The following is a 13,383-nucleotide window of genomic DNA, read 5'->3' on the forward strand; positions in this document are numbered from 1 at the left end:
TGATTAATAAATGAGTTAAGCCACACCTAAACAATGTATGATCTTAGAACTCATTTTGTGGAAAAAATCAGACATATACAATAGTAGAAACAGTGGCATAATGAACTGCCATAAACACATCATCAAGATAATAAAATTCAAGATGTTGCTATTCTTGTTTTCTCTTTCTTTTTTTCCTTTCTTTTAAAAGAAAATCCTGGACATCATGTCACTTCAGTCTCACATACTTCAATATGCATTCATAACCAAAAAATGAGTATTTTTAAGACCCCTTGTTAAGATTATTTGTTTTTGTACAGTTTAGATACACTAGATAGCTTTCTCAATATACTAGATGTCTGGCTGAATTCTTGCCACCCCTCTTTGACATTATAATCTTTTCAACTTATAAAATTCATGGCAACTACATAATTAATTTTTAAAATCTTTCAAAGAACATTCTTTCCTATAAGGTTTCATTAAGTGCCTTTGGCTTATAGCCTATATTAAACCTAGACATGTCATTTAAATATAGTATAAACCTCAATTTTTCATTTGACAAGGAAATAAATTTCTTGTTTTCACAAAAGGATGGAGAGGATGGAGAGAAATAAAAGTGGTCACTAAGGCTTAGCCAAAGAAAATGTTATCTCACAGCTATTTTAAATAGATATTATATCCCTACACAAGTAAACACTGGGTGCAAAACCATATTCTACACAATTTAAAGAAAGGGAGAAAATATTCACACAGTCTAGTTACTCAGTAGGGGCTCTTCTCAGTAGTTTATGGTCAAATATTCTTCACTGTAATTAATCTCCTGATATCATCACGTCACTTAACATCCATCTCATAAAGGATACAAGTCACAAAAAATCAGTATACTTCACCTGAAAATATATTGGATATATTTACTATGGCTACTGCTTTGGTTCAGGAAGAATAGAGATCACTGTATTTTAATGATGACATGAATTGTGCCAGAGTTGACCGCTAAGTCCCTAAAGGCTAAACCCTAAGATCTTAAAAGAAAGTAAAGGGATCTTCACATATGAAACAAATTTTCCCTAATTGACCAAATAATAATTTGACATATTGAAAAAAATAGTATGTTGATATAGTTTGGATGTTTGTTCCCTCTAAATCTCATATTGAAATGTGATCCCAAATACTGGAGGTGGGGCCTGGTGGGAGGTATTTGGGTAATGGGGGCAGATCCCTCATAATTGGCTTGGTGCCTTCCTGGGGAGAATGAATGAATTCTTGCTCTATGAGTTCACATGAGAGCTGGTTGTTTAAAAGAGCACAGCATCTCCCTTGCTCCCTCTCTTGCCATGTGGTGCACTGGCTCCTGCTTTGCCTTCCACCACAAGTGGAAGCTTCCTGAGTCCCTCACTAGAAGCAGATGCTGGCATTATGCTTCTCATACAGCCTGTATGCCTGTGAGCCAAATAAACCGCTTTTTAAAATGAGTTACTCAGACTTAGGTATTCCTTTAGAGCAACACAAAACAGACTATATATGCTAAACACATCTGCCCAGTTGTCTGGGGAAGGGGGATAGAAACATGGTGATAAACTGGACATGGGGAAAAACCTATTTTTTTTTTTGTCTGTCAAACAACATTTTTAAATGGAAGCATTTTTCTGGCTCTCAATCCAAGGATTTTGTGGAATTTTTTCCCCATTTTTAACACTCATACTTTCAAACAAGAGTTAACTGTGAAACAAAGTTACTCCAAGATACATAAAACTTCAGAGGTATATTCTATTTCTCTTTCACAATTTTTCTACATAAGGTACAAGCCATTCATTGTAGGAAGAATTGAAAGGATTTACCTATAAGGCCAACAACAACAACAAAATCTAGGAAACCTGGGAAGTTGCCCAATCAGAATCTTTATAAAAGATACAAAGAAAGATAAACCCTTACCTCAGCTATTTAAGTACGTACATACAAGAATGGAATGTGAAATGTGTGTGTTGACATTGACTAACTTGTGACTACATAAGATAATAGTGTTTTCACATACACAGTGTTCACCCACTGTATGTTACTTTTCCTAACCTTCCAATTTAACTGAATCTAACAGAACCTAATAAATTCAGTTTGATTGCATAAGAGTATGACAGTCATTAATTAGCCAGATTTTTAAGTGAATTAAAGATAAACTGCTTGGTTAAGGGGGGGCTTTTCCTTTTATTCACCTGATGTTTATTACAATGGAAAGTAGAATACCAATATTTTAAAGTCTTCATTAAGAGTGTAATACTGACTTTTCCTGTGTCTGAATCAAGCCGGGTTTGAAACTTGCTGTTTATTTAAATTTACACCTAAATCATATCAACTTGATAAAATTTGATTGCAATTTTGAAATAATGCAGCCGACTGACCCAATTTTACTCTCCACTTCAACAACAACAAAAAAGCTGAACTACAGATTTACCTCAGGAATTACCTCTGAGGTAAGTATATAAAAAACATTGATTTTTATTTGTTCTTTTTCCCCTATCTATGACGCCACCAAAAAAAGCAGAATATAAAACTTAAATTCTACAAATGTCAGGAGTTCTTGCAAGTAAGCTGGTTGTTTTAGCTAAAAATGCTTGACTAACATTTTAAAGTTTTCTCTCATTTTTTGTTAGCAGATATAATTAGTCATTTGCTAAACGTCAACTGTTTCTGTTTTAGAAGAGCTTTCCTGCTAAAAAAAAAAAATCCTGTTAGTAAATTGGAAGCTCGTTTGTTTAGTTTTTACCTTTATAAAAGCATCAGAATCAGCTTAGAAATTGACTAATTGAGGCAAGTCATCTTTCAGTCAAATTTCAACACAAATGTTGAAATTTTAAAAAAAAAGTATTATCAAGCTTCTCTTCCTCCACATGAATAGGCTTTCATATTACTACTGCCTGTTGTTTAAAATTTTAAAAATGGTATTTTTTGCATGGGTGGGGGCAGGGTACATAAGATAGTTTTTCCTTTGGCACAGGTTCACTTAAAACAAACATTAAAACCTTCAGGTCCTCCTAGAAAGAAAGGAGGATGGTATTGTGTACTTCTTGCAGTTTTTTTTTTCTTTATCAATGACATACAAATGCACCTGAAAATACAAGTTACATAGCAATGTCTGCACAAACTTTATGCCTGGAAAAGGGATGCTGACAGCTGTATGAAGAGTGAAAACTAAAAATACATTTTATGGTAGTGACGTCAATGATTTTAAAATATATATGCATTGTCACTTGAGGAAAATAAAGATCATTTAAATAACTGGACTTTATAAGGAAACAGGTATTGAGGAGACTGAACAAAAACTTAAATGTGGTGCATTCACCACTGAGGATACTACTCTTTGAATAACAAAGATTATCTAACAAGTCTCCAGTTCTTCAGGTGATTTATCCCAATACCCACAATAATAACATCATCTATTGGAATCAGACAAAAAGGTAGTAAAATAAGGTTCAGCACAGCCTTTCCATACAGTAGTTACAAGTTGCTCAAGAGCAGAGTTCTAAAATTTATTTTGATTTTCTTAAACTCACTCACTTGTGACCAATCTCATGTGCAATGGTAAAAGCTGAACCCAGGCCAATGTCTTCATTAATGCTGCAGCTCCTTTCAGGCTCACACATTCCAGCCACAGAGGCCAAGCCTGAATAAACAGAAAGAGACACAAAGGGTCAAGCCAAGGTGTTTCAGTCTTTAAAAGCCTATATTTATAAATGCCTGGATTCTTTTTAATAACCTCCATGCACAGAAGGAGCCGTTGGCAAAAGGTTAACTTTCTAGTCATTTGCAAAATCACTGGGGGGAATTTCACTTTGCCGGCTAGACATTAATATTTTTTGAACTGCAGTCAGTGCTGGAAAATGTCTAGACTAGGGGTTAGATTTATAAATTTTACTTCTGGTAACTTGGGACCACCTAGTAACTTGAGCCAGAAGAGGGAATTCAAGAAAGCATTTCTATTTTAACATTCTTCAGGCTGTAGAAAGCAAAATATATCCACATTATTTTTCTAAAGAGATCTGTTTAAGTTTAGTGGGTTCATAAAAATATACAAGCAACTTTCTAGTTACCAAAAAAAGGGGGAATCCCAAATTATTTTTTAAGTGATATTTTTATTAAAAAATAAAATGAATGATTCAAAAGATGGAAAGGAGAACTGTTAAAGATGGGAGGTTTTTGCATTTTTTTTAATCTCAAATTAATCCTGACAGTGATGCAACAATTTCTTTTAGTATTTTAATAGGAGGAAAGTCATTCACACATTCAGTGTCGTTTTTCCTCTCTCCTATCCCTTACTTCAATGCATTAGAGTTTTACTAATAAAGCAAATACTATGGTGTTAATTCGCTGATTCCAGTGAAATGTTATGTTACTCAAGGTATTCTCCCCTTGGGGATTTTAGTATGTAGAAGTTTTAATATTTACTTTCAAATGAATATCATGCTGTGTGAAATACTACAGAACTTTAAAGCAGTGCTTAAAAAAAGAATTTTTGTGCAAAAGCAAAAATGTCATCTCTTATAAGGAAACAGATGCCAAATCATATTTCATGCACATAGAAACAAAAAGTTATTTAGAAGTTGAAGGGGAAGTAGGAAAAACATTTTTTATGGTCAGTAGTCTACTATCATCACCCAAACATTAATAATTACTTTCCCACCAAAAGTGATTTCGATTCAATTCAATGAATATTTATTGAATACAGTAAGCAATGTTCTGTGCTAGGTATAATTTCCCAGCTGTACTAATTAGAAACAATAAATGGTATTCAATCCATATTTTTACTGACAAGAAAGCTCTAGAAGTTGTGTTTCTCTGTATTTTCTAATATGAGTATCAACAGCTACATTGGAACAGAGATGAGATTAATGCTGGATTTGCTAATAGATCGTTTGCTTTTCCTACTGTTTTATGCGAGACAGGCAAGAGTTGGGGAGGGAGTTGATTTCTGCCTCACAGAGTTATAAATACTGGTGATACCCCTGGGCTGCCCTTCCATTCATTAGAGGTATTGGGACCTGAAAAAGAGAATGTAAAAAGTGGAGCAGGATAACTTATTTTTTTGTTTCAGTTAATTTTTGGTTAATATTTAATATTTGTTTAAATATTTAAAATATTTTAATGAATGTCATTTCCAATCTCCACTGAGAGAAAGAGACAGACACACACAGTGAATTTTACTTTTATTTTGAGAAAAATAAAATGAGAAGTAGAATAGGAAAATACCTGAAATATTTTTTTAAAAATTGCATTATATTATCTGGCTTTAAGTTATTTGGTTCAATGTGGCCTATTATATGGGAAGAACAAAGCCACTCTGAATACTGTTTCTGTTTTGGCCTTTATGAAATGTATGTTTTTTCAAAAGAAAAGCAGAATTACTAAGAATAATTATTGTTAAATTAATGTTTCTTACATTTCCCAAAATCTATTATTCCATGGGTTAGCTTTTGGGTTTTGTTGTTGTTGTGTCGTTTTTTGGTATGTGCCATGTGGCTGTATTTTCAATTGAGAATTCTCAATGACTCCTCAAGGTGTATTTACAAGCACAGATTTACTTCTGCCATCTTATATAAAATTATTATCTCTGCTAGAACAACAACTTCAGAAAGAATATACTTGGAAAATTCCTACTTATTGAAATATAAAGCTAAATCTTAACTAAAATGAAAGTATTTTAAATGCTAATGTATTTTCACAACCCCCCACAATTTTCTGTATACCTATAAAATTGAGACTGTCAAAATTCTTATGTGTGATTGTGTTAATGGCGATTTGATAACTATTTCGGTCATTTAGGTTTCCTCAGCTTGATGGCCACAGTTTGCACCCTTAAGCCTACTTAGCCATGTTACAATTGGTCATCAGAATTATTAAGCAAAAGACTATGGAAAAATCAGTATAAAAACCAATATGAAAGTGACTAGAATACAACTTAAAAAGTAATCTGCTCAATTCTGTACTGATAATATATTTTCCATAGATGAAGTTAAAACGTGTGTGTGTATATATACATATATATGCAGCTCATTCAGTTTTCACAAGAAGTAGTATAAAAACAATATACAAGTTTATAATTTGAAAAATAACTTATATTGAGCTTGAAAGTGCATTGACACATACCTATTAATGTACTGATTCTATAAATTAATAAACTATCAAAGTTAGAACACATTATTTTGAGAAAAATAAAATGAGAAGTAGCATAGGAAAACACCTCAAATCTTTGCCAATAATGACAATCAAAGTACTAGGCAGTACTCAAAATACTTTATTTCTCAAAATACTTTATTTATCAAAATAAAAGTAAAATTCACTGTATGTGTGTCTTACCAATGTCATTAGGTTGGTGCAAAGTAATTTGCACCAATCTAATACAATGAAGAGCATATGTAAATAACCTACCTTCAAAAAGCAGAATATATATATAGGGAGAGACAGTGAGGGTATATATATATATATATATATATATAGAGAGAGAGAGAGAGAGAGAGAGAGAGTGTATATGTGCAAATGTGTGTATGTGTGTATATACACATTTCTTCAAATATAGATACACTAGAAAAATACTAGCTCTGGCTAATATGTGCACCTGATTTGAGGTCTAGTGTCTATTATATCTAAAATTGACTGAACACTTAATAAATACTTAGAGAATCTGTGAACAGTAAATATGGGGGGTAAGTTTAAAAGAATAGGCAATTTCTACATTAAATAATACCAGTTCATTTTTATAAACCTCTTTACTAAATACATCTACATTTTTTTCCTTAAATGATTTTAACCATGTCCATGTAGCATAAGGGCAGATATTACTCCTACATCATAGATAACAAAATTGAGGAACAAAGAGCTTAAATACACTGTAAAAGTTAATGTACTGAAACTGTCAAAGCCAGTTGTTAGTTCCCAGTTCAGAGTCCCCTCTGTTGGATTATGTTGGTCTTGTTAGCTTAAAACACTACAAAGTAAATCTTTTTGATGTGAGCTCGCTCAGCAAAGAGAGCTCTGTCTCCATTATGCTTTTTAACTAGCAAGCTTCTCCATAGTTAATACTCAGCATTGGCTATTTGAGATTTCTTCTTCAGCCATAAATCCTAAGGGAAATGGGTAGGAGAAGCCTGGGAAGTCAGGTAAAATTATCAAGAGAAATTTTAGTTTCCGAAGAGATATTTCACTGAACTTCCCAGGCAGTTGCATAACACTTTTCCTCCTACAACTACTTTAATTTGATCTTTGCAAAATGCTTGTGAGGTGCATAGGAATCAATTTCATAACTATTGTTTTACAGATAAGAAAATTGAGACTTGTCATAGAGAAACTAGAGAATTCATCTTCAGTTGTTTACCTTCTGAGTCTGTAAAAAGTCTCTATGACCTTAAAAAATTGAGAAAAAAAGCTTCTGTCCTTTAAAATAACTTTAGTTGCTTAATAATTTAGACTACTGGAGAGCTACCTTTTTTGCCCATTTGTATTTGCAGTTAACTATGAAATTATGCTCTGTAACAATGTGTAATTTTTAAAATTCTAGAATACTACAAAAATGCTTTTAAAAAGACAAATGACCCTTAGGGAGCACAAGAAAGATAATCCTGTCCTCTCTTTTCACCTGTGGCTATAATATTTTATAAGATTATTTTTTGTTGTTGTTGTTTGGGTAGTATAAAATTTCCAATACTATCTTAATTTATGGGGCTATACTTTTTCCACAAAATTGTACCAAAAAAAGTATTGTTCTTGGTGCCTCTTCATTAAGTATCCTTAGTTGTGTTTTTTTTTTCTTTCCTTTTCTAGCCTGAAATTTCAAGATGTTGACTGCTTTCATTTACTCTCACAATCTTGGTATTTCTAGAAAATACATTACAGAGATAGATTATATGAACATGAGTGATAACCTCGATTTATAATTCTTTAATGAATTTGAATCATATTCTAAGTTAATTTTAATAATCATTCCAGTTGTCAAAAAAGCCAATGAAATTTATATAATATTTATGATGGTAATAAATATTTGTTTCCTAGTAAATGACATATCCACAAAGGCTGGGTGTAACAGGTTTTAGGATTTCAGATGTACAGAAAGGAAAATGACCAAATTAATAATAAAGATTAAAGTCATTGGTCCAAAAAGACAATCAGAACCATTCTACCTTTATTAAAAAAAAAAAAAAAAAAAAAAAAAAAAACCAAAAAAAACTTACCCAGTGTTCCACAGGGCTTATTTTTATAAGTGCAGATATCATATCTATGGAGAAAACAGAGATGAAATTTGTAATCTGATCAGATTTGTAACATATTTTTCTATATTCATCATACTTCTCTCCTGAAGTTGTCAGACCACAATTAATGCAATTATGAGCAATCAACTGGAGTGTCGGCATTTTCAGCACTCTACAGTGCTGAGGGACACCACAGGCAGCACTACACTCACAGCCTCTGGCTGCAAGCCAATAGAACACCTGCCAGTAAGAAAGAAAGGTTAAAGTGGATTTTTGTAATCGCAAGTTCCATAAAACGATCTGCCATACTGTTTTGAAGCTAGAGTACCTTGTCTGCAGACTGTTACTACTTCTGCAAAACGCAAATAGGTGGCTTCTTATTTCCAATCTCCTTTGAACCTGTGGGAATAGGTTTTGTTACAGACACAGACTGCATTTTATACTTCTGAGCTATAGGCACTATTTGGAGTTGCTTTAACTCTAGCACAGGTTCTTGTTAAAGAAAAAAAGATATTGTAATACAACAATGGGAATAAAATTTATATTACATATTTCTCCTAGTTGTATACCAGCAAATTAGCATGGCTAAAATACAAATATTTTTAAGTGATTTTACAACAGGCTAAATGAATCTGTCAATAGAAACCTTCCCTAATGTTGATCAGATTTATTCTATACCATGCTGCATTATAACTCAATACAAAATATTGAGTCCATAATGTTGCATATTTTAAAAATATTACATTTCGAATCCTGTCAATATTGATATAAACATTTATTTTAAGCATTTTCAGTATATCCTTGTAAACATTTTTAAAACCAAAAGTATTTAAAGTTTCTAAAGTGAGAGTAAAAAATAAATGTAAAAGGCTAAAAATTTTTATTTGCCTCTGTTTTATGCTAGAAGCGAAAAGATTTCAGTTAAAAAGTAAAGCTTCACAAACTACAGGGAAATTCAAGTTGTAAGAGTTCTCTTTTATTATATATAAATAACGATTAGTCAATATTAGTAGGGGAGAGGGTTAGCAAATAATCCCATTCTTACTTATCAATCACCAGACTAAATTGTATATTATAACCAGCCATATCACTGGGTTGTTGAACTCATTAAAATTTCTGGAGATACCCTCTGTCTATCTTTAGAATTTCAAACTCTTCATCCTGCTCATTTTACATTTGAGGAAAGGGATTTTCTTTTCCTCTTGCATAAACTTCTCTTCTGACCATTCACATATTCATCCTCTCTATTTCTTCTTTTGTAATTGGTAAGCCATGGGACTGCAATGCTTGGAACACCCTCGAATGTAAGATATAGAGAGGGTACCAGTGTACTCATCGAAGCACCATAAAGTATATTCTTGGTGTCACAGTCAATTTATCTTGCAACATAGTGTGTTATGCCTATTGTTACATAGCCACAACCTTTTCTAGCAGTCTTCAAGAAAACGTAAAGGAAGACTTTTCATGGTAATGCAGATACAGATGTTTCAATAGAATCTATTTCTAAACCTCCAAGTTCCACAGTGCCCTTCCTAAAACTGGTCTACCAGTTTGCTGAACATTTATCATATGCCCAGGTATAGTGCCATATACTAGGAATAGAAAGATAAATAAGTTACTTTTGGTCTATTTGGGGAAATAAAACACAAGTGATATATTACAGAAAAATGTTGAAAAAAGATTAAATAAAATAAATGTAAAAATAGTTAGAGTTACATTATGCAATCAGTATTTGTTAACTACTATCATGATGATTATTGCCATAACCTACTTAAAAACAAAATATAGAAATACAGACAAAACAGTGAATACACATAGAAAACTAGGAAACAGATTCATATAGGACATACATCTGAAACAGGTTTTAAAGATTAAGCCAGATTAAAAAAAAAGAAAAGTAAAAGCATTCCAAGAAAAGAATAGAGTATTCAAAGGAACAAAGTCTAGAAAGAGTATGGCATATCTGAAGAACGATGAGAATTTCAGAGAGGCTGAAACATTGAATGCTAAACCAGATTTGTTTTTCTTATAGACAAAACCAACTTAGAAAATAGTTTGTATAGTAGAGAAGGATTTTTTCAAACCATGAGTATATATACAGATTGAGTTTATATATAGATATAAATCTGGAAGGATAACAGTGGGTATCTAAGGGAGAGGTGGGAGAGTAGGGAGAATATACATACATATATACATTTCTGTACAACCAACTTTAATCAGAAACTCTTTCAGCTATGCCTGTCTCTGATGATAAACACAAGAGAAACTTGATAATTAGCCAATGAATGTCTAATGAATGTTAAAAATGTGTTTTTCATTGCATTGAAGGAAAAAATTAGTGGTGCTCCAGATCTGTAGATTGGCCAAAATATTTCAGAAGCACTGCCCCACTTTGCATGAACCCATACAAAAACCCCACAAGCTTTGCAGGATGTATACTTAGGTAACACATCTGAGATTTGTCCTGTATGTCCACTCAATGGTTTGGAGTATTAGGGTTCCTGATAACAAATATAAGGGTAATAAATTCTGTCCCCATAATATTTTCATATACAAATTGAGGGCACTCTTCATGCAAAGTATTGTCAGAGCACCTAAATAACAGAGTTGGAATGTCATCAAGCTTATAAAATAAGGAATATGATATTTGTGCCTTCCTGCTTATTTTACAGATATTTATATTTATAATGGAATTTGATCTAAAACTTCCCTTCATTATAACTGATAACCTTTATCCACCAAATCCTAAGGTTTTGCCTGAACATACTAGCTTAGCTCAGTTTGCAACAATAAAAATTCCAGATTGATAAATGGAAGGCATGACAAGGTAATAAAAAAAAATTTATATGTGGCTATATCTACCATGATACCTACTTCTAATAGATTTATCTTCTTTAGGCCATTCTTATAATTGCCTTCCCTGAATATGTATCATGGAATAGCAGAAACAGACTGTGGGCAGAAGAAAGACTTCAGTCATGGATTAAAAAGTACACCATCTTATCCATGAATTATATAATATAGAATCAAGTTGTATTTATACTATAAATTGGGAATAATAAATCTGAAACATTAAAGTTTCTATTGAAGGTAAACTTCACTATACTTAATTTCCATTCAAATATAGAATTGATGAATATGAATATTTTTCCATACTTTGTGTATACTCACTCAATATCATGTTACCTGCACATAACAAAATGTTCAGCAGAAGTGCAAGGTAATCATTTGAGACATTTTTTAAAACTCAAAATTGCTTTTAGTTTATTATTTACATATTTTATAAACTTACTATTATCTCATATTTTACCTTTTTCAATTTCTTTTTTGTGGGATATTTCTTACTCTATTCATTCTCTTATTCCTATTTTCCTTCTTCTTCATGTATAAATTCCTGATTCTTTCCTTTCCCACAAACTATTCTCTGTGCTGTCAGCCCCATATTTCTTACAAATGTAAAAATCTTGAGAAATCATTTAATTCAAGCTCTACTACACTTAAGCCAATGTCTCTTAAAGTAGGCCAAATATGAACCAGCTTATTTCAGTTCCTCGATATAACTCTCAGTCGTCTCCCATCTTATATTTAAATATCATTTTTAAATTTTATGCTATAATAATAATCTTCACTAACTTCACACCCTCTTTCTTTCTTTTACCTAACTTTCTCATTTTTACTTTGCATCATATTCACTCTACATCCCATCAACTCTTCTCTGCCATACTGTGGGTTTACCTTATTTTCCTCCAGATCCAAGCCACTTCAGGAAAAATTACAAAGAAAAATAATGCAAGGAGTCTCGCTTTATCCCAAATATATAATTGGTATACTTTTAGGACTTTTATTGCAGCAGTACAAATTGAAGAAAGAAGAGATTGAGGAAAAGGAATTCTAATTGCTTACTCTCAACACCCTTTACAAAAATCAGTCACTACTAAATCCTTACCAACCCACAGGTGGCAGAAGCCCCCAAACTTAGGCCTGTGATCCTAACTTCAGACTAGGCTAAGAAGTACACTGGAATGCTAAGAATTAAAAGAAAAGCTGAAATAAAATTGGAAAATGTTCTTTATTCTGAATTTGGATAGAAAAATAGCACCTTATCCCTATGGTACTTTTTTGGTTTTCTTTTCGTGAAAGTGTAATAACGGCTTCAGATGAAAAAGAATTAAGAAAGTTGGTCATAGGGAATCTACATAAAGCCCAGTACTTTAGGGAAATCAGGGTTCCACTTTTGAGTGAGTAGATGAATGCATATGTTGCCATTCTTTTACCCTAAATTCATAATGACGTTGGACAATTGAGCAAGATCAAAACTAGAGAATTTGGTTGAGACTGTAACGTTGGTATACTTTTTGGGTATGGATACTTTCAACTCTTTAATCTTCTAGTCACTTTTGCCTAGGCATGGCTATCAGAAGAAACTGACCAAAACACATGATTAAGTTGCATTTTAAGATCTCCAAAATATAGCGTTACCTTCCACCACCAGCAGACATGCCCCCAGGGCAGCCAAGCAGCCTTTTGTCTGAATCCCAAGCCTGAGAAGCAGCCCCATGGGCTGCCCCTGAAAGACACACCCTCCCAGCCAGCCAAGCAGCTGTGTGCCTGAGCCCAGAGCCAGGAATATAGCCCCATGGGCCACCTGCAGCAGACACCCACCCAGGCCAGCCAAGAAGTCATGTGACCACATCCCAGGCCTAAGAAACAGCCGTGTGGGCCACCACTGGCAAACACGCCCTAGGCTAACCAAGGAGCTGTGCAGCTGTGTCCTAGGCAAGATAAACAGCCTGCCCCCAGCAGACTTGCCACCAAGCCAGCTGAACATCCTTATGCCTGCATTACAGGCCTGAGAAATAGCCCTGTGGGCCAACCCTGGCAGACACATCCCCATGCCAGCCAAGCAGCTGTGCACTCATGTCCTGGACCTGAGAAATAGCCCTCCAAGCCACTCTTGGCAGGCACACCCCCAGGCTGTCTAAGTAACTGCATGCCTGTGTTTCCAATCAGAGTAATAGCACGATGGCCCTAAACCTAGTGAGTCAGACTGCAAGCTAGCCAACCCACCATGTGCATACATTTCTGACCTGAGAAATAGCCCAGCAAGCCCACCCCGGCAAAGCTATGCCACCATCAAAACAAACTCTCTCAGCCAAGGTCACTGAGAAATTCA

The 13,383-nt window shown here is 33.6% G+C and overlaps 1 protein-coding gene across 13 annotated transcripts in view; it reads right to left on the minus strand.

Moving 5' to 3' along the window:
• Positions 1 to 13,383, minus strand: part of ADAMTS6 (ADAM metallopeptidase with thrombospondin type 1 motif 6) — a 333,183-nt gene that overhangs the window by 177,112 nt on the left and 142,688 nt on the right. For 12 of the 13 annotated variants that reach the window (NR_135689.2, XR_007058575.1, XR_007058576.1 and 9 more), the window contains 2 exons: positions 8,193 to 8,236; positions 3,529 to 3,634 (listed from right to left, as the gene is read on the minus strand). Coding sequence is in view for 10 of the 13 variants with exons in the window: in XM_011543117.3 (XP_011541419.1) it covers positions 3,529 to 3,634; positions 8,193 to 8,236 (150 nt within the window). In the remaining 3 variants the exon portion in view is untranslated. Of the gene's footprint in view, positions 1 to 3,528; positions 3,635 to 8,192; positions 8,237 to 8,538; positions 8,588 to 13,383 lie in introns of those variants that run through there. The other variant, XM_011543123.3, reaches the window with a different exon arrangement.

The sequence above is a fragment of the Homo sapiens genome, chromosome 5 (assembly GCF_000001405.40).
Source record: "Homo sapiens chromosome 5, GRCh38.p14 Primary Assembly".
Lineage (NCBI taxonomy): Eukaryota > Metazoa > Chordata > Mammalia > Primates > Hominidae > Homo > Homo sapiens.